The sequence below is a fragment of the Homo sapiens genome, chromosome 20 (genome assembly GCF_000001405.40).
Source record: "Homo sapiens chromosome 20, GRCh38.p14 Primary Assembly".
Lineage (NCBI taxonomy): Eukaryota > Metazoa > Chordata > Mammalia > Primates > Hominidae > Homo > Homo sapiens.
In genome coordinates, this window is record NC_000020.11 from 48538235 (window position 1) to 48565465 (window position 27231).

At 48.9% G+C, this 27231-nt stretch overlaps 1 long non-coding RNA gene across 1 annotated transcript in view, besides 1 other annotated feature; it reads right to left on the reverse strand.

Moving 5' to 3' along the window:
* LOC105372646 (uncharacterized) overlaps positions 1-25390 on the reverse strand; it is a 37271-nt gene extending 11881 nt beyond the window's left edge. The window contains exons 1-2 of the long non-coding RNA XR_936817.4: positions 25049-25390; positions 5858-6101 (exon numbers count right to left, since the gene is read on the reverse strand). This is a non-coding gene — a long non-coding RNA (uncharacterized LOC105372646). The remainder of the gene's footprint in view (positions 1-5857; positions 6102-25048) is intronic.
* Positions 3308-3387: an enhancer, noted in NCBI's record as "active region_18022". NCBI's record gives its function as "activates an Ori minimal core promoter by ATAC-STARR-seq in GM12878 lymphoblastoid cells {active_cell/tissue: GM12878}" and the evidence as "EXISTENCE:reporter gene assay evidence [ECO:0000049][PMID:35858748]".
* Positions 25391-27231: the final 1841 nt, after the last annotated feature.

Below are 27231 nucleotides of genomic sequence, written 5' to 3' on the forward strand. Positions count from 1 at the left end.
AGGAGCCCACACCATGCTTGGATGTGTCAACCTTAAATAATGAGTTTCAGAAATTATGACTAACTATAGTGTTTGAGCTCGAAGCTTGAGGATGACCACCCGGAAGCATAGATCCAATTTGCCCTGAACATGCAAGATAATTAGCCAGAGTTACAAGTGGGTTTTTAAGGAAAAAAGAAGAGGCACTTTCTAAGTTGTTCACCAAGAATTTGCATTAAAATAACACAGACCATTGACTGGCTACACATTGTTCTTTGTATCACAAACTCCAGGAACATCAAGATAATCGGGAAGGCAGCTAGTCATGACTAAAACGCCTTTAAACTCTTGCTCCTGGGCATGGGGCCAGAGGGGTGACTGAAGTTTCATACTCATGTCTCCCTGGACCTGATACCTTCTGCATACCTAACATAGCTCAGATTTCTCTGGGCTATTTTTTTTCCCAAGATGAATGGACTCCTGCAGAAACAAGACGGGCAGCTACAAGAAACAATGTGGAGAGTTAAGAGCTCAGCAGAGGCCAGAAACGAGAGCTGGGAGGAGCAGGAAAAAATGTCAGCTTCATGCTGCGGAAATCTTGAGGATAGCTATGGACATTTGGACAGTCTACATTTGGGATTCAAACACCCAGGTTATGATGAGATTCTGTGGTCCTTTCAAGCTGGAATTGTTGGTGACCTGAACAAATTTATTGTGAAAATAACAGGAACAGGTAAGCCAGTCAGGACCCTCAGGCCATAGATACACAGACAGGGGATGTGTCCTGCATTCCATGAACACAGGGGTTCTGACCTCAGCTGTTCATCTCTCCACGAATCTGCTTTTTCCTTGAGCTTGTGTGAGATTACGCCCGTATTTGTCAGTGTTACCATCATTTGACCTGGATATGCCACAAAAGCCAAAGACTATTATTTGGAACTTGGGTTTGGGGTAAATATTTACCTTGTTACCAAATTCCTCCCTTTGGTCCCCACTTCTTCCTGAGTCATGCCTGAGGCAGTCCCTTTCTGGAACCCTCCAGTTATCTGCACCAATAAATCCTTTTTTCCCCTCAGACTGTGGGGTTGGGTTTTCCATCGTTCAGCAAATGAACAATTCCCAATTTATAGAAACCAGAGAAGGTAGGTACAATTACCCTCCCAATGTTACTGAACCAAAGCTGGGTCTGCTCACCTGGTGCAGCAAAGCCAAGCACTGACACTGAGGTTTGTAGCAAGAGAAACAAGGCTTTAAGGTAGGGCACCAGCAAGGAGAATCAGGCAGCTGATGCTTGAGATGCAAACTTCTTAGGGGCTTATAAGGAAGGGTTTTTAAAGGCAGGGGTAAGTTTCAGGAAAGGAGAAGTTGCCAGCAAAATCATAAACCAATACATGGATGTTACATATTGGTCTACCTTTAAAAAGGCAGGATATTTTGGATTGGGGGCTTGAAGGTCACAGGTGGATTCAGAGATTCTTTGATTTGCAATGGATTTAAAAAACAAGGTTTGTCTAAAATACTTAGGGTCAGCTGAAAGGAATGTTAAGGTTTGGCCTATAGGTGTGACTCTCTACAGGCCCCTCAGGAAGAGATTTAGAACAAAATTGGGGGTCAGGTTCAGTCCCAGTTCCCCTTTATCTGAGGTCTGCATGAAAACAGTCAGCATTTTCCATCTGGTGGGGTCCTAGCTCCTGAAAAACAACTCACTCAAGGACATGGGTCAAGATGTTCTCTTTTACTTTCTATAGGGAACTGGGATGGTTGAGTGTCAACTTGATTGGATTAAAGGATACAAAGTATTGTTTCTGGGTGTGTCTGTGAGAGTGTTGCCAAAGGAGATTAACATTTGAGTCAGTGGACTAGGAAAGGCAGACCCACCCTCAATCTGGCTGGGTACCATCTAATCAGCTGCCAGTGCAGCTAGAATGTAAGCAGGCAGAAGAACACGGACCGACTAGGCTTGCTGAGTCTTCCAGCCTTCATCTTTCCGCTGGATGCTTCCTGCACTCAAACATCAGACTCCAAGTTCTTCAGCTTTTGCACTCTTGGACTTACACCAAGAGTTTGCCAACGGCTCTAGGGCCTTCAGCCACAGACCGAAGTCTGCAATGTCGGCTTCCCTGCTTTTGAGGTTTTGGGACTTGGACTGGCTTCCTTGCTCCTCAGCTTGCAGATGACCTATTGTGGGACTTCACCTTGTGATTGTGTGAGTCAATACTCATTAATAAATTCCCTTTCGTATATACATCAATCCTATCAGTTCTTTCCCTCTAGGGAACCCTAATACAGGAACCTAACATCTTGTGACTCTGGCTTACTTGGGTGGCTTTTATTATTACCTTCTTGCTTAGCAGGTGACATGGTTTGGATCTGTGTCCCTGTCCAAATCTCACGTGGAATTGTAATCCCCGATGTTGGAGGTGAGGCCTGAAGGGAGGCGACTGGATCATGGGAGCGGTTTCTCATGGATGGGTTAACAGCATCCTCTTGGTGCTGCTCGTGATAGAGCTCGTGAAATCCGGTTGTTTAAAAATGTGTAGCACCCACTCCCCCTTCTCTTTCTCCTGCTCAACCATGTGAAGTGCGGGCTCCCCCTTTGCCTTCCGCCATGATTGTGAGCCCCCTAAGGCCTCCCCAGAAGCAGATGCTGCCATGCTTCCTGTACAGTCTGTGGAAGCATGAGCCAACTAAACCTCCTGTCTTTATAAATTGCCCAGTCTCAGGTATTTCTCTACAGCAGTGCAAGAATGGACTAATATAGCAGGTTATTCATTTACTTCCCTAATTGCTGGCTGCAGAACTAGTTAGGTGCTTGGAATCTTCCTTGAAGGGACTCAAATTTTTTCCTTTATCTTTATGTGGGTGGGTGTTGCGGGGGGGTGGGGGGGAGCCTGGCAGACCTCTAAAAGGGGTCCCTGCTCCATCTCACCCGTTATACAGACAAAGACACTGAGGGTACTTCCACCTTACACCCTGCCACGCCTGGATTGCCCACCTCTGTTCTCTCCCAGCCAAAGCAAAGAGAAAAAGAGATAATGCTCACACCCCATTGGCCATGTTTTTGTCACAAGGAGGCCTGGAAAATGTAGTCTTTATTCCAGGAAGCCAGGCTCCCTGCTACCAGGAGGAATGCTGAGGTCATCCAGCAGTCTCTGCCATAGCTGGGTAACCCCCACCTGTCCCTGTCCCCCATGGGGCAACTTTGAGTGCAGGACAGAGGACCCACAAGCCTCACACCAACCTGGCAGGACATCTTCATCACATAGCCTGGCCAGGTCATCCCCAGAGGAGGACAGCACTGGGGTCTGGGCAGAACCAAGGCTCTGGACAGGCCAGAGGGGAAAGGCGTAAGCAATGAAGGGAGCAATATCCACAAAGGCCCCACACCTTTCCTGGGTGCTGCTGGCTTCTTCCCACACCAGACATCTGAGACAGAGGCTGCGGTGAGAGGATCTCATGGTCAGTCACTCTTGCATTGGATGGGAAACTCCCACCTTTGAATGAAATGCTAATTATAGCCTCCATGTACAGTCTGTTACCTGCTAAAAATACGCTGTCTTATTCTAGTCTCTGCAGGTGCAGCCGAGTTGGGGGAAATAATGCTGTTTTTAGCATGAGTACAAGGAGACAACCGAATCCTAGACTCTTGGGGACAGCGTCTGTCTGTCTGGGAACTTGTTTCCAGGAGTGTGACCGATGTGAAGGGCCAGGCAGAGGAAGTGCTGCAACCCCAGGGGCACAACAGAGCAGAGCTAACTGTGGGAGGAAGCGTCTTCCAGGCTCAGGCTCGCAGTGGAGGCAGCCTCAGCTTCCAGGGCTGACAGACATTCGTCATCTCGGCAGGAGGGAGACTGTTAAAACAGGCACTGAGGGAGTGCAATGGGGCCCCCCAATCCATCCAAGAAAGCCCGAAAACAGGGATGTTGGAATGAGATGGGGAGGAGAAGGTCCCAAAGACAGTAGAGGAGGCAGGTATGGGGAAGGATTGAGAGATATCATTTGTTCATTCATTTATTCTACAAATATTTATTGAGTCCTACTATGCACCAGGCACTCTGCTAAGTTCTGGGTTAAAGTGACAGATAAGGTCGCTGCCCTCATTTATTAAAATATATTTCAACATATATGGAGTCAGGAACTGACCTAGGCACTGGAGACACACAGTAAAGAAAAACCCCTCCCTCTTGGAGCTTGAATTCTAATTAGGGAGGGAGAGTCTGATGTTCCTTTCCCAAGAACAAATTGTATATGTCCGTTTTCGCTCTGCTGATAAAGACATACCCTAGACTGGGTAATTTAAACAAGAAAAAGGGTCTCATGGACTTCCAGTTCCACGTGGCTGGGGAGGCCTCACGATCATGGCAGAGGGCAAGGAGGAGCAAGTCACATATTACATGGATGGCAGCAGGCAAAGAGAGAGAGCTTGTGCAGGGAAACTTCCATTTTTAAAACCATCAAAGCTCATGAAACCCATTCACTATCACAGGAAGAGTGCAGGAAAGACCTGCCCCATAATTCAGTCACCTCCCACCAGGTTCCTCCCACAACACATGGGAATTGTGGGAGTTACAATTCAAGATAAGACTTGGGTGGGGACATAGCCAAACCATATCACAAACCAACAAGGAAAGGATGACAAGAGCTGGGGACTTCCATGGGACCCTCCCATCCTTGTCCCTGGGTCTCCAGTTCAGCCTTCCAGGTCCAGGAGGTATTGGCTTTCCCACCTGGCCACATCTGCTGCTCAGTTTCTCTCTTGTGCCCTTCGAAGGTTCAAACCAGCACCCTCAGCCCTGATATTCCCCCTCACTCTGGGGACATGACCACAGGGTCCAAGCAAGCCAGACGGCAGGGGAAGCTTCACCTCACTTCCACCTTCCGGATCTAGATAAGAGGATCCAGTTGGCAGAGCCAAATTCACATACAGACCCAAGTTGCGTGAGATTTTGGGAAATGCCATTTTTAACATCCAGGCTCTACTCAGGAAGCAAAGAAAGGAGGGCAGTGGAGCAGGTGGCCAGGCCAGGTGGGACTACCCCTGCTACTCACCACCCAGGCTCGCCCCTCCACCCACTCCTGAACTTCCAAACACAACATTTCCTCTGCCTACTCCCGTGATCCTGTGCAAAGGACAACACCCCCTGCCCAGGGAGGCCAGAGTCCACCAGTGCTAAGAAATGGGCCAAGAGTGGGAGGAACAGCCGTCTTCCTGCCCCAGGAAACTCGACATTGGCTGCAGCTTGAGAGGGGTCCATGGTGCCAGAGGCCCCTGCATCCCCTGAGACTGGCTCCTCCTACCCCTGCAGAGATGCCCCAGACCAGAGAAACTGGCCCCTGCCCCTATGTGCAATGACCCCTGGGGCATCACCTGTGAATGAGCCCACAGGAGGAAGGTCACAGCCAGCACTCAGGCTTTAGAAGGGTCCGACCTAGAATCGATGACACCCTAAATGGAGGGTCAGAAGAGGGTTCCCCCAGTTATAAATTCCTCAAAGCTTCAAAGAGGGCCGTTTCCCTGCAAGCTGAGTATTGAGGCTGCTGCTGGGTTCTATATGGTCAGAAGGGGGTACGCTGCTGTGGAGACAGACATGCTGTATAGACATCACACCCACAACCTGCAAAAGTTCACACAGCAGGATGCTGCACAAAGTCACCAAATGCAAAGTTCACCTGGCATGAATATTCAATTGCCTGCTCCTGGAAATGGTGTTTCTATCTTTATCGCTCACGGGCAGAATTGCTGTGGAGTTTCTCATATCACTGACATTGACCTCTGGTGGGCCAGTCAGGTGATAGCCTCAGAAGGCTGCTCCAGCCCAGCTGGGACGGATCCGTCTCCACAGCACGGGATGTTTGCTTGAATTCGACTAATACCTACTCTCAGGAAGGACCATCTTTGCTGTCAGCTCTGGTTTTATGATCTCCTGTGAAAGGGAAGACATGTCTCCATCCAGGGTCAAGGCTCCAAGCCCTTCATTCTCACCCACAGGTGGATCCCAGTGTAACAGGAAGTTGAACATCATTCCCCACTGGAGTTGGAGACCCAGACACCCCCTGCAGCTCCACAGGTGCGGGGAAATCAGGTGCCTCTGCCTTTTCCTGGTGGGGTCAGGGACTGGAGTCTGGAATAAGAGAGTGGGAGGTCACCGAGGGGAAGATGGCATCTGGGGAGAGGAAACACCTGGGAGAAGCTATTTGCATTTTGTCATTTCAGAAGCCAGATGTTGGAATGCAAAGAAATTCTACTCACAGTAACACAGTGAGAACATTTTCACAAACAGTTTTCCACGGATGTGAACAGGTTAGAACCCTGAGCTTTCTAGAGCACAGCCTCCGGAGGCAGATTCTCTGGGTTCAAATCCCAGTCCACTGTTTACTAGCTGTGTGACCTTGGGCAGGTTACTTAACCTCTCTGTGCCTGAGTGTCCTCATCTGTAAACTGAGGATAATGATAGTTCCTGTTACATAGGATTATTGGACAAGTTAAGGCAAACAATATCAGCAAAGTGCTCAGTGCACCATCTGCCTATGGGAGGCAAGGGTTTAAAATGTTAGGCATCATCACCCTCATTTGGTTGCACTGAATTTCATGTTGATTATTGGCTTTATATTATTACTGATGTTTTATATTGATTATTGGCTTTATATTGATTACTTCTGATTATTACTGATTGGTTTTATATTGAGTATTATATGGCATCTGATAACATTCTCATGACCTTCATTCTTCATTCCTGGCCCTACAGCATCATGTGTTTTTCATGCTGGGATCAATTCCATTCCCTTCATCCGACCTTTCCCTGCAGAAACACAGCCAGGGAAAGGAGCTCTGAGGTTATCCCCCATCTTTACCACAATCAGCAGCCACGGATGTCCCTGAGAGCCCAGAGCAGGTGCTGGCCCATCGTCCCTCAGAAGGTGGCACTCTACGCTCTACAGAACATGTGCTTCCCATTCCACCTTCCAGCATCTGCTAATCCTGGATGGCTGCCCAGCCTTGCCCTGGCCTCCCTTCCTGCTCATGAGCATCCCCTTCCCCACACAGCAGTTAGAGGAATCCTTCTCATGCTGAATCAGCTCCAGGCACCTCTCTGACCACAACCCTCCAGTGCCCCCATCACAGGACAGACTGATCAGGTCCTGCCTCCTCTCAGTTCCCATCTCTGCCCAGGCTCCCCTCACACTTGCCCTCGGTCACTCCAGCCTCACTGCAGTGTCCTACTCTCCACCTCAGCTTGTCCCACCTTAGGTCCTTCTATCAAGAGTGACCGTCCCTGAATATGCCCACCCTCAACTGGCTCCTCCTCGTTACGAAGATCAAGCGGCACCACCTCAAAAGCCCTCCCGACACCCCAGTCCAACATCAGCCACCCCCTCCCATCTGTTAGGTCACTCTCCCCTCCTGGAATGTAAGTCCCAAGAGGACAGGGATGCTGGCAGTGCTGGCCACTGCTGCATCCCCAGCACCCAGCGCCCAGGACCCAGTAGGTACTCAGTGACATTTGTGGGGCACGTGATGAATCAAAGTGGCCTGGGACTGCAGGTGGGAGCAGCGCCCCCTCGGCAGCATGGGGGGTTGTAATAATAATGTCACCTGTGTTTACAGCCTGCTTCACAACCTGCAGAACTTAAGCACCCACCATCCCTGAAAGAGAAAGATAAACACAAATCCAGACGTTTAGCCAGAAAATGAAGGGAAGACGGAAAGGTTTAAAAATGAGCGAGAGCATATGTTTCTTCCTGGCTTCAAGATAAAAGAGGATACCCAGAGGAGAAAAGCACTCAAAAAACATGATGCTTTATTCAAAAATTAGCCCACAGCAGAGTGTCAGGGAATCTGTAGTAACGAAGACTCTGGGATAAATTCTTTTAAATTAAGAAGCAGAAGGAGAAAAGGCAGCAGCCCTGAGCCTCGACTTTGGAATGTCCTCCATCCATCTGCATCTGTCATCAGCTGGCAGAGCGGGTGCATGGCAGGGGGAGCCAGGGCCACCATTCCTCCCTTCAGCCCTTTCTGCTCTCAGTTTAGGGATAACCAATGTTTGATGGCTTGTCTCTCAAGAGTGATTAGAAGCAAAGCTGCCCATTACAGGCTAAATATCAAAGCGTTCCTACAGAAATCTCACTTCCTAAGCTCAAAGCCCTGATTCTGGGCTGCCTCTTGACCCAACTCATCTGGGACCCTGACTGGCACCAGCAGACGACAATGGGCTGACACACACCGTGCTTACTTTAGACCGGGGAGTGCAGTTCTGAGCTCTCCGGGTGTGTGAACTTACTTAATCATCACCTGAACTCAACGATGCTATTGGGATTCAGCTCACAGATGAACAGAGCCAGGCTGGGCAGAATCAATGCTCCCTGGGCCCATGGCTGCAGGACAGCAGAGCCACTTCCAGGACCCCCGGCCAGCACAAGGCCCACACCACTGACCACTGACGGTGCTCTGTGATGGAAGAGGGGCCTCAGCGACAGCCCCAGATACCAATATTGCTCCAAGTGCCTCTTTCCAGGAAACAGTCCTCTTCTGAGACAGTGAATCCAGCATAACAGGACAGTGAACAGACTTTTCCAGAGCTCTCAGAATCATGGCTGCAGTTCTACAGCTTCAAAGCGAGTGTGCAAACATCCACAAGAGTCCCTGGCCTCCACCCCAACAAGAGAGAGACATTGGAAAGGTGATTCCTGGGAGGGTGTGTGATAAGAGTTTGGATATTGGACCCCTCCAAATCCCACGCTGAAGTGGGGTCCCCAAAGTTGGAGTTGGGGCCTAAAGGGAGGTGTTTGGGTCATGGGGCAGCTGCCTCATGAAGAGCTTCATACCCTCCCCATGGTAATGGCTTCTTAGTCTATGAGTTCCTGTGAGAAATGACTAGTTAAAAAAGCCTGGCACCCCTCTCCTCTCACCACGTGATCTGCATACACCAGCTCCCTTCCCATGCCATGAGTGCAAGCAGCCTGAGGCCTCACCAGAAGCAGACGCTGGCACCATGCTTCCTGTATAGCCTGTAGAACCATGAGCCAAACAAACCTCTTTATCAATTACCCAGCTTCAGGTATTCCTTTATAGCAGCATAAATGGACTAAGACAGAGTCTTAAATCAGTTTGGGCTGCTATAACAAAATATTATTGACCAGGTGGCTTAAACAACAAAAATTTATGTCCCACAGCTCTAGAGGCTGGGAAGCCCAAGATCGAGGCACCAGCAAATTCAATGTCTGGTGTGGGCCTGCTTCCTGGCTCACTTATGGCACCTTCTTGCTACATCCTTACAGGGCAAAAATGGGAGAACAAGCTCACATTCTCCTTTCCTAAGATAACTTCAGTGTTGTCAAGGGGTTCACCTCTTCCCATGCAACCCCTGTGGCCTAGGATCCTCCACTCCAGGGTGATTCTGTTCAGTCTGAGCCTGTTCGCATACGGCATATGCCCCTGCTGATTGGTATTTGCCCAGGGCTGGGGGCAGGTATGCCAAAATAGGCCAAATACACTAAAGGAAAGGACTTGTAGTGCATGCTTTGGGGGAGTTTTTCTCCTGTCTTTACCCAATGGGCCTGCACATACTGCCATGTGGCCTCACACGCTGGTGGCAGCGGTCTTGTGACGAGGAGGTGAACCAACCTCAGAACATAGCCAATAGAGTGAGCAGCAAAGCGGAGGCCAATTAACCCTGGATCTCTGCGGACATCGTAAAGCTGCTGAATCAACCTCCCCAGAGGTCCAGCTCCTGGCTGGTCTTTGAACTGGGAGATAACAAGTTCCCTTACCATGTTAGAGTCATTAGAGGTTTCAGTTACTTGCAGGCAAAAAGCAAGCTAATCGACACAGCATCTTTTCCAAAAATCCTTCTCTGATCCCCCCAGCAACCAGCAATTCCCCCCTTCTCGGAGCCTCAGGGACTTTTCTCACCAGACTAACCCGCTGTATCGTGTGTGCCATTTATGTCGTATCGCCCCCATGAGCCATGGGCCCAAGGAGAATAAGATCTAAGTCATTTCTCTCCTCCTGAGCCCAGGGCCTTACACTTAACAGGGGCTTTGTAAATGTCATGGCACAAATGAAAGAATAATTTAGAAGCCAGGTATCTCCACTTTAGATTTATGTAAAGAAACACATTACTGTTACTTCAACTGCTCTTTCAGACTGTATGGAAGTATTTTTATGTCAGTAGAGATGAATGTTAAGATGTTTTGTTGTAATAAACTGCATGTCCATAAACGCCCTATCCCTCTTTTCCCCCAGTCAACAGCATCTGAAGACTCAGCAACTTTCTTCCAGCAAATGATGTCCCTCTTTAAAGTTCACACTCTCTTTAACAGATGTAGAAATTCCAACAAACACATCTGGACAGGTGGTTACCAAGATAACTCTCCAAAATAGGTCCAAAATGGGACTCGGGGCCACCAGTGAGATTTTCAACAATTCATCCCCCCATGAACTGTGAGGGCCACCCATCCTTATCACAAATAAACCTTGACATCCCAGGATACGACGCAGGCTGGGCCTTGCAAAGAGGAAATACAGACTCCCTTGGGTGACCTCAGAATAGGATTTCAGGAAGGGGAGTGGTGGTCGTGCTGTAAGGTCAGAGTGGACCTGATCTTACGGAGGCTGTGGAAACCAAGAGCAGGAACCCCCAACATCCAGCTTGGGACCATGGCACACCACTGCACGTTTCTGAAATCTCATCTCCCCGAAAGCCTACCCCTCTCACCATCTTACTTACCATAGTGATGTAGGCCAGGGAAGCTCCAAAGTGGAGCTTAGCCTGAGAGGGTTCTTGGCTTTGCCCAGGAAAGAATTCAAGGGCAAGCCAGAGGTAGAAGAAAACAGCTTTATTGTAGCAGCAGTGTTACAGCTGAAGTATTACAGCTCTGTGACTGCTTCTGCAGAGCGGGGCTACCCCATAGGCAGAGAGTAGCAGCTCAGGACAGTTTTGCAGTCACATTCATACCCACCTTTAATTGCACACAAGTTAAGGGGCAGTTTACGCAGAAATTTTGGGGGAAGGGGTAGTAACCTTTGGATCACCGAGTCATTGCCATGGAAAGGGGCAGTAACTCTCAGGTGTTATGGCAACAGTAAGTTGACATGGCACACTGGTGGGGGTGTGTCTGATAGAAAGCTACTTTTGCCCTGGCCCTGTTTCAGCTAGTCCCCAATTTGATCTGGTGTCTGAGCCCTGCCTCTCGAGTTGAGTCCTGTCTCCTACCTCAATAGTAAACGGCAACTCAGCCCTTCCAGTGGTCTAGCCACCTCTTTCACCTCCACCATGAATACCACAGCCCAGGCATCCATCACCTCACACCAGACCGCAGCAGTGCCTCCTCTCTCATCTCCCCAACTCCACTCCTGTTCTCCATGCAGTTCATTCTTCACACACAGCCAGAGGTACTCGCTACCAAATCCTCTGTCCAAAACCCCTGGGCATGTCCCATCTCATCAGAACACAATCCAAAATTCCGTATCGTGTAGAGTGAACGACTTGTCCCAGCTTTCTGAAGACTGCCCCAGTTGTATCACTCAAAGTCCTGTGTCCTGGCAAACCTCAGTCCAGGCAAACCAGGAGGGTTGGTCACCCCAGGATCACAACATTCAAGGCCCCCACATAACTCAGACCATCCTCCCCCTTGCTCACTCCACTACAGTGGCCACACAGGCATTCTTGTTCATTCTAGAACATGCCAGGCACACTCCTACCACATGGAGGGCCTCTGCACCGGCTGTTCCCTCCAACTGGAGCATGCTTCCCCCAGATGTGCACCTGAAAGACTCCTTTGATTCCTCCAAGCCTGTGCTCAAATGGCACACTTCAGAGAGGACTTCCACGCCCCCATGATCTAAAGTAAAGTAGGCCCTAGACACTTGATTGAAAAGCCCTGCTTTATTGCTTGTTTTTTATGGCATCTATTACTACCTAGAATAGCACACATACTCATATATGTATGTACATGTTTGTGTGGCATATGTGCATGCACATGTATGTCTATGTGACTGTATCTGTGGTGGGGCAGGCTGTGCCTATTGTTCACTGCCCCTGAACTCCCCTGGAACATCAGCTCCCGGAAAACGGCCCTGGTCTGTTTCATCCACAGCTGCATCGCTGGTGCCTAGAGCGTGCCTGACACGTAGGAGCTGCTCTGTAAAGAGCAGATGAATGAATGAACGGTACACTCTTCTGAAAGTGTTGCCTCCATGGAGAACTCAGGGAGACAGACACAAGCTGCCTGGCCCAGGGTATCTGAACCCAGCGGCTGGACTCCTTGTCCAGTGTTCCTTCAGGGTAAGAGCTAAGGTTGCATTTGTGTTTTTCTTCTCAGCCCAGAGGACCTTTTTGCAATTTTCTGGCCATGGGAACCATCGCAGAAGCCAGTCACCAAGCTTGGCCTCGGTGAACATGCTCTCCTAGAACGAGCCTCAGACCTTCGGATCTGCCCATCTCCAACAACCCAGTTCCTGGACAGTCACCCCAGGCAGCTCCCCTATCCATTAGGACAGAGCTAGACAATTAGGGTGTAGAGCTTGGTGAATCCTGAGGGCTCATCTCAGGCCACCCCCGCTCTAGTGAGGAACCTGCAGGCAGAGGAGGGACATGACTGGCCACTGAGAGCGTTGCAGGCAGAGTCGGCAAGACCAGCTTTCTCCCACCGCAGAGCACTTTCTCGATGGAAGATTCTAGGAGTCTTTACCCAATTCCATTCTCTCACCCTTCTTGCAAGTCAGCAGGGCAGAGACAGGGGCAGCAGAGCCCCACTTGGCAAACAAAGAAGCTGAGGCACAGCCAAGGTCAGTGACTCACCTTTCTTCAAAGAGCTAATTACTGTGGGGCCCCAGCAAGATGGTTACAGTGTGGGCCCTGAGTCGTGGCCTGGGCTAGGTCCTGGCTCTGCCACTTTCAAGCTGAGCAAATTGCTCACCCCTGTGTGCCTCAGTTTCTCCATCTATAGAACTGGTAATAAGCGTAATTGACCTGTGGCTTTTACGAGCACAATGAAACCCAGGCATCACCAATGGGAGGAGCCCAGCCCTGGAGGCAGATGCCAGTTCCACCCCACCCGCCCCTCCACCCACAGGCTCTGAGGCTCCCCCGACCCCTTTGCAGATGGAAATAATGGCAGCACCTCTGGCACAAGGCAGTTGTGAGAACTGATGGTGATGTTTCACTGGTTTCTTTCAATGCTTCTTGTTTTGTTTTGGAAAACAACCAGAGCAGTGCCTCCACACAGCAAGCGCAATATAAGTATTTGTTAAATAAAAATATGGAGAACACACGTATAGTGCTTAGGCCAATGTCTGATGTAAGTGATGCTTTTAGTGACAAGGACCAGAGCGTGAGTCATCCTGACCCTCCTGCTTCCCTCCCGTCCATGATAACCCCCAGGCCACATCTCAGACTCACGGGGCCACTTGAATGCCATTTCTTCTCAGAGGTGACCTTGCTCTCTCTGCTTCCATATGCCACTGCCCACCTCCTCCAGACACCCTGTCTCCCACACACACACACACACTCACACACACATGCTCACACACATCATGCACATTCACACGTACAGACTCACACACTCATACTCACTCATTCAAATGTATACAGTTACACACCCTCACACATGAACATAGTCAAAAACACACACATACACACTCACACAGACTCACACACATGAAGCCTCTGGGGTACGTGCAACCAAAGCTCTAAACTAAGGTTCTGAATCCCAGCCAACATTGCAAGCTCCACACTGGGCCTCCTCCAAGCCCCCATCCCTGCCCAAATACCCAGTTCCCGCACTGCCAGGACTCACCGACGCCTCAGCAGAGCGTGGACTGTCCCCTTGATTTAGGCAGCACCTGCCACCTGATAACAGAGCGTAGCCTGTGATGGCATTAAACACTTCAAAGATCAAGTTATTATTTATAATTATATATATGCTTATTTTAACAGTAACTCATCTACTTAATTGGAATATAAACTGGAAAATAAAATAATGTTATAAATTCCTGCTAGGCGCTGTTTTCTTCTGAAGGCCCTGAGCCAGAGGCCTGTTAAAAAGAAAGATCGCGTTTTGGAGAAATGTTAAAGACATAGTGCGTGAACTTGAGACTTCCCTCAAGGAAGGAGAGTTAAAAGAAAGGGGGGTTTGAAGGGCCACCTTCCTCACGATGTGTCTCCGCGTTACACAGTGAGTGTCTGTGTGATTTTGCTGGAGTGACGTTCCGTGTCATCCTCGATCGTGGAAAACCTTCTGCCCTACCCACATCCTCAAACACTTCACTGGGCTCAAGCCCCCTTACGCCTGCTGATGTCTGCATCTCTTGCTTGAGGGCTTCTTCCAGAACACAAGGTGGCCATTCTTCCAGCACACACATGCGCGCACACACACACATACACACAAACATATGCACACACACACACACACACACACACAGCAAGCTGGAAATCACAGGGAATAAAAAAACCCACCACTATCACCACCACCAGCAACTTCCAACCAATGAGTCCTGAGAGTTGGAGCATAAATAACCCAGGCCTCCGGACCTGCAGGCGGGGCAACTCTGCCCTGTGGCTCATGCTGTCTGCAGCTCTCCGTAGGATGAAGCTCCCACGGCCCTCTGCAGTAGCCCACTTAGTAACGCACCCTCTCACAACCTCTTGGTTCTTTGCTTTCTGTTGCATTTCCCCTCTTTCCCAACTTCTGGTAAAGGAATAATTTGCACTCAAATCCTTGTCTCGGGAACTCAAACAAATACATGTATACACATGTTCACAGCAGCATTACTCACAATAACCAAAAAGTAGAAACAGCCCAGGCGTCCATCAGCAGATGAACGGAGAACCAAACTGTGATCTATCCACGGGATGAAATGTTATTCAGCCCTAAAAATGAATGGGGTTCTGATCCATGCTGCAACATGGATGAACCTTGAAAACACGATGCTAAGTCCTTGAAAGGAGCCACACATAAAAGCTCACATGATCCCATTCATGCAAAAGGTTCAGAATAGGTAAAATCCATAGAGACAGAACGCAGCTCAGGGGCTGGAGGATGGGAAATGGGAGCAACGGGTTTGGGTTTCATGGTTATAGGTGATACAAAATATTTTGAAACTAGATAGAGGTGGTTGTTGTACAACATTGTGAATGTACTAAATGCCATTTTGTTCACTTTAAATGGTTAATTTTAGGCCAGGAAAGGTGGCTCACACCTGTAATGCCAGCACTTTGGGAGGCCGAGGCGGGCAGATCACTTGAGGTTAGGAGTTCAGGACCAGCCTGGCCAACATGGCAAAACCCCATCTCTATTAAAAATACAAAAATTAACCAGCTGTGGTGGTGCATGCCTGTAATCTCAGCTACTCGGCAAGCTGAGGCAGGAGAATGGCTTGAACCCAGGAGGCGGAGGTTGCAGTGAGCCGAGATGGCACCACTGCACTCCAGCCTGGGCAGAAGAGATTCTGTCTCAAAAAAAAAAAAAAATTAAAAAAAGGTTAATTTTAGGTTTTGTGAATTTCACCTCGATTTTAAAAATTTCTTATCTCAGGGTCTGCTTCTGGGGGGTCCAAACTAAGTTACCTGGCACCATGGGCGGCAACCCATGCGAGGGACTGCGCCGCCTCTAATGATAAGATATGGGGAGCCAGGAGCCCTGCGTGACCTCCCTCTTCTGGGGAGGTTCTTGGTCTGATCCACTGCTTTTTCCTGAGATCAGAACTTTCAAATCTACCTTGTGAAGTCTAGAAAAGCACATCTTTTACAGAGTGGGATTAGGAAACTGGTCATAATCTCACTGTCCTCAAAAAGAGCACTTTTTCACAAACAGGCTGAGAGGTCTCCCCAGCTTTTCTCTCTATGCCCTATGACAGACCTCAGACCATGACATTCAGTCCAGAAAAATCCTGGAGGCGTCTTGACTGTTGAGAACCAGGAGTAGAGTCAGCTCAGGAAGGGGCTGCCTAGAGATTTCCACTGGGAGGGGCAGCTGCTGTTTATGAAATATTTTCATATGGCATTGATTACTGAAAAAATGAACAGGAATGGAGTTGATCAGATTTGCAATTAGAGACGATCACTCTGGCTGCTGCTGTAGAGAAGGAACTTGAGCAATGTCAGCAAGGACACATAACACTGATCAGGAGGTCATTGCAAAGACTCAGGCAGGAGATGATGGCAGCTTAGACAAGGGTAGTGGTGGTGCAGATGGAGGGACCAGATCTGGGAGATACATGGGAGGTGAAATCCACAGGCCTGGGTAATGGACCGTATGGTGGGAATTAGCAAGCAGACAGGTGAAGGTACCATTGTCTGAGAAGACAAGCATAGGAGGGGAGCAGGCAAAGGACCGGGGTGGGAGATCCTGGCTTCATTCTTAGATGCGCTTAGTTTTGGGTGCCTTTGAAACATCCTGGTGGAGATTCCAGGAAGCCAGGTAGGTACAGGGTTCTGGAACTCAGAGGAGAGGCATGAGCTATAGAGACCACCAGCCTGGAGATGGTAAAGGAAGGAAGAGAATCTTTAATTACAGACCAGGAAACAAAGGCATAGAACAGGAAAGAGATCTAACAAGGTTCACAGTCTCAGTGGCCTAGCAGCACAATATCGTCAGTGTGGTGGGCTCAGTAACAACCCTCCAAAGGTCTCCACATCCTAATCCCTGGAACATGTCAATTGTCATTGTGGAGGGCTCAGTAATGACCCTCCAAAGATGTCCACATCCTAATCCCCGGAACTTGCCAAGATGTTACCTTACTTGCTAGAAGGGGGCTCTGCAGATGTGATTAAATTAAGCATCTTGAGCTGGGGAGATTATCCCGGATTCAGGATAATCCAGGTGGGTTCAACGTAATCACAAGGGGTTCTGTTAGAGGAGAAGACGATGTGGTGAGAGAAGCAGAGATTGGCGCAATGAAGACAAGGAAGGCAGCCCCTGGAAGCTGGAAGAGATAAGGAGCACATTCTCCACGGAGATCCAGGAGGAGCCACTGCTGACACCTCGATGTGAGCCCCATAAAACTCATTTCTGACTTCTGACCTCCAGAGCTGTAAGAGTGTCAATATGTGTTCTTTTAGACCACTAAGTTTGTAGCAATTAGTTACAGCAGCCACAGAAAGCTAATACAGCTGAACTCACATTATTATTGACCACATAAACCTGGATCCTTGGGGGACTCTTTGACTGTAAGTAACAATACTGTGAGGACATTTCCTGCTGACTTAACAAGAGGTCTTGGGGCTGATTCAGCCACTCAGACTCTCCCTCCTTTTGCTCAGCCTTCAGGTTGGTAACGTCTCTGCCCACAATCATAGTATGGCCGCCATAACTCCAGCATCAGCACCTCACGGGACAATGTCTAAGCAGGATGAAGGGCACAGAAGTCAGGGGCCTCCAGATGCTCAAGACCTCTGGATTTAATGAAGAGAACAATGATTCCTGCAAAGCCCAGAACACTTCCTTTTACATCTCATTGGCCAGAATTGATCATAGGCTCACTCTGGGACTGCAGAGTGTTGGTTCCTCCCCCTTGAGGGACAGGTTCCTGCCTGAGGGGAGAGTATAACATTCTACTCTGAGCTCTCTTCCAGGTTCCCAGGTCCTGAGAGATTAACCCACTCCCTCCAAATTGCTTCTTTGTGTCAAGATTCTGACAATAGGACATGAGGGACACAGACTGGACAAGTCACAAAGAAAGCTCCTTTCTGCAAGATTGCAACACCTGCCTCATCAGAGCCTCCAGACTTGTGGCTAGCACTCTGCCCATTTTGGTTCCTTCTCCTCTGAGCCCTCTTGTTCCCCAGGTTTTGGGAGACACTTCCTTAGGGGAGTGGCAACAGCCATTCCTTGGCAGTGTCAATCTCACTGAGAGTTTTTGAAAGTTCATCATGTGCACCGAAAAAAAAAAGCAGAATTCTATTAACAAGAGAGACTAGATATTGGGTAAGCAACTAGTAGTCGCTGCCACAAACTCTTTGTATGCTTACTTGGGGTAGCCTACCAGGCTTAACCCAGTTCTCAGCCAGGGGCGACTGTATGTCATAGGAACATGTGGCAGTATTTGGAGACATATTTGGAGTCATATCATGGGGGATGTTTCTACTGGCATCTAGTGGGTAGAGAGAGGCCAGGGACGCTGTCAAGCATTCTACAATGCACATGACAGCCCCACAATGAAGAATGATCCGATTGCAAATGTCAACAGTGCTGAGGTTAAGAAACTCTGACCTAATCCCTTGGGAGCAGGATAGGGGTGCCAGGTTTACCAAGAGGTGTATTCATATTTTTTTTGGTGCGGGGGAGACGGAATCTCGCTCTGTCATCCAGACTGGAGTGCATGGCGCGATCTTGGCTCGCTGCAAATTCCACCTCCTGGGTTCAAGTGATTCTCCTGCCTCAGCCTCCCGAGCAGCTGGGATTACAGGCACCCGCCACCATGCCCGGCTAATTTTTTGTATTTTAGTAGAGACGGGGTTTCACCGTGTTGCCCAGGCTGGTCTCAAACTCCTGAGCTCAGGCAATCTGCCCACCTCTGCTTCCCAAAGTGCTAGGATTACAAGTGTGAGCCACTGCGCCTGGCCTGTACTTGTATTTATACTAAAATACTATTCCTTGTTTATTTGAAATTCACACTTAACTGGGTGTCCTGTGTTTGATCTGGCAACCCTAGAACAGGGTCAGACTCTATACCCCAGTGTTTGCTGTCGCCCAGGGCTTAACAACCTAACACACATTTGTCAAATGAATGAAAAAATGAGGATCTCACCAAAGATGTCCAAGGCTGCTGCACAATCCGGTCACCTTGGTCAAAATACCTTCCTGGAGCCCATGCAGATAGCCTCCAAAACACAAAGCAGCCATCTGCTTCCTGGGCTCCATGACGGCAGCAGATCCCCTGCAAAGCAGCTCGGATATCTTCCCTTTCCCTCCCCTTCCTCCAGGGAAGGTTGGCTGCCTGCTCTGCAGTGACACTGCAGGGTCAGAACTCAGCCTGTGAGTAATCCAAGAACAGTGCCTATTTGAGGGGTTCCTCGCTGCTGAGACAGACAGCCTGTGGCCATCAGTCCCAAATAGCATCTGTTAATGGCCCACTGGAGTATGGTCCCTGTCGAAGTCAAAGAAAAAAGCCCTTAATTCACTAATCGTCTAAACAGACAACACCAGCTGATAACTCCTATAGCCCAGCTTATGATTCTTTATGAATCTCAGTGAATGCAGCTGCAAACAGACTATAAAATTTGTTTTATCCACAGGGGAACCCTTTAGAGGGCTGATGGTGGAAACTGGATTCATGAGGACCCACTGCCCTGGATTTTCATAGTCAAGTTTTGCAGGCAATGGAAGAACATCCCAGGGCCTCATATGACAGCACGTTTCTGATTCCATGAATACTCATTGTGCACCGCCCTAAACCAGACACCGAGTATGCATTTTACCTTCATTAATCTTAATCCACATGACAGCTTGCAGTGTCCTTGATAGTAACCCCATTCTTAAGATGAGGAAACTGAGGCCCAGGGAGGTCAGCTAAGGAGGAAGGAGGGGCCAGCCAGTGGAGGCAGAGCCCAGGTTAGTTAGAACATTGGCCTTGGGGCTGTACTGCTCTTTTATTAAATCACCACCATAATATATCAGCTCATAAGTGATTTTTCTGGACGGGGATTGCAAAACCAGGTGTGCTATCTTAGAGAGAGCCCTAAACTGAATTGCATTTATGGTCAAATAGATCCTGCTTCCCCCTTTCAAGAACTTTTGTCCACCAAAGATCCATGAGCTCTACCTTTTCCGCAGAGATCTGGAGCTGTGCTGCCTGGGGACACCTTATTTTAATATTCACTTACATGTGATTAATGCTGCTTAACAAAGGCCTGTGTGCCTCAGTTTCATCACACAGTGAAATCTACAAGTTTAATCTTCCTTGCCTGCTTATCCAAAAAAGAACTATGGGTGGATGGTTAAGCAGCTAGACAAACTGTCACTGCTCTCTGCAAATTTTCCTCCTAATTGGAGGCAGCCCTGCTGTCTTTCACTGGTAAGAATTCTGATTAAACCTCATTGCTTTCCAAGGTTAAACGCATGCCACCCCAGGAGACCACAGTTACACCGTTTAGAATCCACCCCCAAACTAACCCTTTATTCCTGAATGTGCACTTTGAGGCCTTGGGCATTAGTATAAACTACACTACACAATTATTTGTAATTAAGGGAGAAAATGTGTACTGTGCTACAAAAATTAGCCGTGCTTTGTTGATGTGAATCATGTCTATGCCGGCGTGCCAGCCCAGAGAGGCGGCATAAAATACAATTAAATTTCTTCTGACTTAATAGTTGTTTATGTTGCTATTTTTCATAATCATAATATCTCAAGACACAGAAACAGTTTCTCTCTAATGTAATTGCGTTCTACCAATGAGACAGCCTGGGTTTAAATGAAAACTCAGGCAGAATTAACCACAAGAGTGTATTGTATGGATGATGCTAGAATTTTGTTATAAAGCCCCATGCACAACTGTCCCCACTCAGGAGCTTAGACCTTTATCCCAATCCCATGAGGGTGACTCTGCAGCCTCTTCTGCTCTCGTGGAAGAGTTTGAGCCAAATTTCGTGAGCTATTAAAGCCACCTGTGCCCCAGTTTAGTGTCCTTGTGCTCCAGACCCCAGTCATTTCCCTACTTTTAACATTTCTCCTTTACACATTGATTTGGTTGACACATATTAAAAGCCTGACTTTTACAACCCTCATAAAATCCCATCTGCTCCAAGCTCCAATCCAAACTCAGCCAGAACATGCTCAGACAAACTGTTCGGATTATACTTCAGCCTCTCAATGGAAGGACACACAAAGCAAGAGCAATTCTCTCTCTCTTTGTCATTAAACGTAAGTCAGGCATTCTTCACAAAATGCTGCCAAGAAAGCCATAGAAGGAATAGCATGACTTATACACATCAAAAGAAAGATCCCCTCAAGGGGGTTTGGGAAGAGTCGGGGTGGCATGAAGAGCTTGAAAGGCCCAATTGTCCATCCAGGATGATACCAGTGAGAGATGTCATGAGGGGCGAGAGACATGGGAGGGGAAAGGCTGTGCCAGACACTGTGGATGGAGGCAGCAGGGGCTGGAGCATCAGGAGGCTGTGGGGGCCCCAAGGATTCTGCTGAGCCCCACCCAGGCCCAGCTGAGTCATGGCTGAGAGATTTCCCACGCCAGGGACATCTGAGACCCTGAGGCCCCTAAGTCTCCCAGGCAGACACCGAGCTCCAGAATGCGGCCAACAGTCCCCACCTGCATGGAAGGACCTGGAAAACAGGCTGAGGCCTTGAACCCAGAGGACCAAGTAGTTTGCTGGGAATTATGGGGAAGAAAGGTGGCTGAAGGAGCTTTGCAGACTCCCTGAGCTCATGGGTGTCTGAGCTGGTAAGTTAAGATCAGCCTAAAACACCTGACCTACAGCACCTGCCTACAATGAACACACACACACACACACACACACACACACACGCACACACTTACAGAGGCACTCACAGGCAAACACACATGCATACACACGCACACACAGAGGCACTCACAGGCAAACACACATGCATACACACACACGCACAGACTTACAGCGGGACTCACAGGCAAACACACACATGCATACATATACACACACACACACACACACACACACACACACACACACACACACACACAGTCACAAACAAGATTTGTCCCCTCTCCCCTAAAGGAGAAGGGGCAAAATGCAGACATCACCACACGGGACCTTTGAACAGTGACAATGGAAAGAAAACCCAAGTAAACAAGTGATACCACCAGCCCAGCCACAGCCCCCTCTTCTATGCTAAATTCAATTTGCCACGTCCCCTTCATGGTGTTTCCTTGATGGCAGGAAAGGGATAGAGTAGAAAATTATAGGCAGGGCCCAGTGTGGGGAAGAGAGGCCTCAAAAACTCAAGGCCCGAGGGAAGGCAATATGCGGTGACACAGTGGTTTCCAAAACTATTTTTCCTCTCTACATACACACAACCAGATTCACCAGATTCAGCACACAAAAAAATGTATTTCAGAAAAGCAAAGAATAATTTTTTATGTAAGTATGCACCAAATATCACATAGGACATGGTTATACTAAAAAATTAATTTATCAAAAATTCAGATTTAACCAAGAATCCTGTATTTTATTTGGCAACACACACACACACACACTCTCACACATCTTATCTAGGACTCAACATAAAAAGCAGCTAAAAAGCAGGTCCTACCCCTGGGCCTCCCTGCCCCAGCCCCTAGACCCTGATGGCACTTTCTTGGACTCTAAGGGCCCAATTAGAAAATCACTGGTGCAGTTGGGCATGGTGGCTTATGCCTGTAATCCCAGTACTTTAGGAGGCCGAGGTGGGTGGATCACCTGAGGTTAGGAGTTCGAGACTAGCCTGGCCAACATAGTGAAAGTCCATCTCTAGATATACAAAAATTAGCTGGGTGTGGTGGTGCACGCCTGTAATTCCAGCTATTCTGGAGGCTGAGGCAGGAGAATCGCTTGAACCCAGGAGCCGGAGGTTGCAGTGAGCTGAGATCACACCACTACACTCCAGACTGGGCAACAAGAGCAAAACTCCGTCTCAAAAAAAAAAAAAAGCACCAGCGCGGTGGAAAGGGTATGCGTTCCACGTCAAGGTACAGTTCCACCTGGTTCAAACCCCACTTGCCAGCCTCGTGACCTTGAGCAAGACCCTTTACGTCTTTGAGCATTAATTTTTCCATAAACTTAGGTTTATGTTTGAATCTGGGTATTTGCTCATGTGTGTGTTGGAACACTGCCCTCTCGCCCCTCTTGTCACCCGTCTCTTTCCCACCAGGCTCCCTGTCACTGGGGAAGAGAAGAGGAGGCTGCTCTAAAGCAGGTTCTCAGTGGAGACAGAGAGCAGGGAGACAGACTTTCCCTAGAGGACACCCCCAGATTTGTTCACCTTGTAGCGAACTGTGAAAGGGATTTCTTACTGCATCTCCATCTCCTGTTACAGAGCCACCAGAGTGTTCTAATTAACTTAAAGTCATTAATGGCTGGGCACAGTGGCTCATGCCTGTAATCTCAGAACTTGAGGGGCCAAGGTGGGCAGATCACTTGAGATCAGAAGTTCAAGACCAGCCTGGACAACATGGTGAAACCCTCTCTCTACTAAAAATAAGAAAATTAGCAGGGCACTGTGGCGGGCACCTGTAATCCCAGCTGCCGGGAGGCAGAGGTTACAATGAGCAGAGATCGTGCCACTGCACTCCAGCCTGGGCAACAGAATGAGACTCTGTATCCAAAAAAAAAAAGTCATTCATTAAATATAGAAACGGGGTGGAGAGGACAGACTGAAGACCCCTGGCCTCTTGCTTGTGCAGCATCGAGGAGGAGAGAAAACTCAAGGCAGCCCACAAGGTGTCCTCATAAGCAACTTTAGTGTCCTCATAAGCAACTCAAAGAGTAATGGTGCTGGGCTAGGCTGGTGGCACATAGGACATTTGTTCATGAAGACCCTTCCTGCCCTGGGCCAAGTTTAAGTACACACCATGGCTTAGAAGGTGGGTGTGAGGTTCAGGCTTTGGTGATACTTGCTGGCTTGTTTTTTTGGGGGTTTTTTGGGTTTTTTAAATATATTACTTCCCCTGAAGCATTAATAACATGCTAAGTTTCCAAACTTATCAGCTGAGTGATGAGTTGACTATAAAACGCCGGGTTGGAGAGTGACAATATGCCCCTGGGTGTGCGTGCACGCCCGTGTGTCCAAATGAACCTACGTGTGTCTGTTGCCCAGAATATGGCTCCTATGCAATGATCTTGAACACCTGGTTAATGTATTTATAAAGGCAATACAATCATACAGAGAACACCGCTGGCATTTGGCGCTCATTCCCCTTTGATTGAGGGATGATTTTTCTCTCCACTGTTCTGGAATTGGTGAAGTGTTGAGACCTGCATCACAGAGATGGTTCTAGTCTCCTGATTTAGGCTGTATGGGGAATATTCCCAGCCCATCCTGTCCCATAATAGAGACTACCAGTTCTTAGACATCATCTCCCTCAGAAGCAGGGAATTCTCTCCACCCAGAGACTGCTTCATCTGCAGCTCTTCATGCTCGCTTATGATTTTGAAACCCACATCTTATGACTTTGAGTCTGCGTTGCCCAGTGGTCCTGGCCTCTGACCCATAGCTTCATCTTATGAAAATCCTAGCCCCCAGTTTTGTACACCTGGGCCCTGATGGAGACTTAGATAATTTCTATCCCAACCCCAGGATCGTTTTGCGCAGCTTTCTTATGTGGATTGATGGACAGGTCCATCCCTGGGTACCATAACCACTACCCAAGAAGTGTCTGACCAAGTGGAAGCCAAGCGTGTTAAGGGAAGAAAGTTGCCAACAGCCCTTCTCACTGGCTCCCATTCAGGGCCTCAGGAGTGACGTGACCCACCCCAGGGGCTGGAGGAGAGAAGCTTTTTGGCTAAAAGTTTGAGAAAACTGTTTACACAGAAGTCCCGAAGAGATTCATGCTCTGGTGAAAATCAGATGATCCAAAAAATTGTGTGTGACCTGCTGTAGAGATGGACAGTAGCCAGGAGACACCACGCTTCTGAATGCAGATCATCTGGCTCTTTCTGAAAAAGGGAACCCTTGATGGGCTGGGATTCTTAGTGACTTGGAGTGCTGACTATTTGAATGTGAATCAGGATTTGTTCAGCTGCAAGGAGTAGAGTAAATTAACAGTTGCTTAGTCAGTGCTTCTGAAACTTTCGTGTGCATACAAATCACCTGGGTTCCTTGTTAAACAGCAGCTTCTAATTCATTGGGCATGGAATGGCATCTATAATAAGCTCTTAAGTAAAGTCCACGCTTCTAGTCCAGGGACCATAATTTGAGTAGCAGAGGGGTGTACACTGCAACTACCAGGGAGCTTCCAACTTAATTGGAATCCTCCAGAATTCCAATTTAATTGGTATGGGGTGTGGTCTGGGAATTGGCAAATTTTAAATCCCCCCAGGTGCTTCTAGTGCACAGCTAAGACAAGAACCACTGACTTAAGCAATAGAGACTTTTCCTTACCGCACGGTACAAGAAGTCCAGAAGGCCGCGTTTTCCAGGCTGGTTTGGCAGCACTATCGTGTCCGGAATTGGTGGGTTCTTGGTCTCACTGACTTCAAGAATGAAGCCGCGGACCCTCTCGGGGAGTGTTACAGCTTTTAAGGCGGTGCGTCTGGAGTTGTTCGTTCTCTCCCGGTGGGTTCGTGGTCTCGCTGGCTTCAGAAGTGAAGCTGCAGACCTTCGTCGTGAGTGTTACAGCCCATAAAAGCAGTGTGGACCCAAAAAGTAAGCAGCAGCAAGTTATTGCAAAGAGCAAAAGAACAAACCTCCCACAGAACGGCAAGGGGACCCAAATGAATTGCCACTGCTAGGTCTGGCAGCCTGCTTTTATTCTCTTATCTGGCCCCGCCCACATGCTGCTGATTGGTCCATTTTACAGAGAGCCGATTGGTCTGTTTTACAGAGAGCTGATTGGTCCATTTTGACAGGGTGCTGATTGGTGCCATTTACAATCCCTGAGCTAGACGTAAAAGTTCTCCACCTCCCCCCTAGATTAGCTAGATACAGAGTGTCCACACAGAGGTTCTCCAAGTCCCCAGCAGAGTAGCTAGAAACAGAGCGTCAATTGGTGCATTCACAAACCCTGAGCTAGACACAGGGTGCTGATTGGTGTGTTTACAAACCTTGAGCTAGATACAGAGTGCTGATTGGTGTATTTACAATCCCTTAGCTAGACATAAAGGTTCTCCAAGTCCCCACCAAACTCAGGAGCCCAGTTGGCTTCACCCAGTGGATCCCATACTGGGGCCGCAGGTGGAGCTGCCTGCCAGTCCCGTGCTATGCACCTGCACTCCTCAGCCCTTGGGTGGTTGATGGCACTGGGTGCCGTGGAGCAGGGGGCAGCACTCGTCTGGGAGGCTGGGGCCGCGCAGGAACCCACCGCGGAGGGTAGGCTCAGGTATGGCGGGCTGTGGGTCCCGAGCCCTGCCCCGCAGGGAGGCAGCTAAGGCCCGGCAAGAAGTCGAGCACAGCAGCTGCTGGCCCAGGTGGTAAGCCCCTCACTGCCTGGGGCTTGCAGGCCGGCCAGCCGCTCCGAGTGCGGGCCCCCTGAGCCCACGCCCACCCGGAACTCACGCTGGCCGGCAAGCGCCGTGTGCAGCCCCGGTTCCCGCCTGCGCCTCTCCCTCCACACCTCCCTGCAAGCTGAGGGAGCCGGCTCCGGCCTTGGCCAGCCCAGAAAGGGGCTCCCACGGTGCAGAGGTGGGCTGAAGGGCTCCTCAAGCGCGGCCAGAGTGGGCGCCAAGGCCCAGGAGGCACCGAGAGCAAGCAAGGGCTGCAGGGCTGCCAACATGCTGTCACCTCTCACTATGGTGGAATTAGGAGCCAGAATCTTTCCATCCTTGTGTTCCACCATCCTTATCATGTCTTCAACCTTAATGCCTCACGGTCTCAAGATGGCTGCAGAGTTCCAGACATCATATCCACCCACAGGGTAGGAAGAAATGGCAGGACACTTTGCTGTCTCTCTCTTCAGCAGGAACTTTCATGGAACTCAGCCCCTCCACCCACACAACAGACATCACTTTGTCTTTTTGCCAGGTGTGGGTTATATATGTGGTTGCCATATTCAGCAAATAAACGTACTAAATTTAAATTGGGACAAGTTTATGCTAAACAATTATTCATTGTTTTTCTGGAAGGTGAATGTAACTAGGCATCCTGTGCTTCCTCTGGCCCTAGTAATATTTAATACATCCACCCATATACCAATAATTGACAAAGGGAACTAGGATGATTACACTTGGTTTAGCCTCCAGCCCACCCTCTAATTAACCCGTCCCTTTATCCTTAGCTGAGCCTGAGTTCCTCTCTCTTATTGGCCAGACCTGGGTCACATGTTTGTCTCTGAGCCAATCGCTGGCTAGAGAAATGGGATGTGCTGACTGGCTTAGCCTGGGTCACATGCTCCATCCTACAGCCAAACATGTAAGGTGGATAAGGGAGAAGGCGTTACCTCCCTTATCGAGGCGAAAGGCTGTAACTAGGAGGAGGGTGCACTAACCACGTGTTTTATTTTCTGTATTCCGACACTTTGGTATCTGGGACCATGCTGACCCTGACCTGCCTTTCTGAGGGTTAGCCAATTCTTGATAAAGCATGCTTTTCAAATACAAACCAACCAACCCAGAGCCAATGCTCCAACC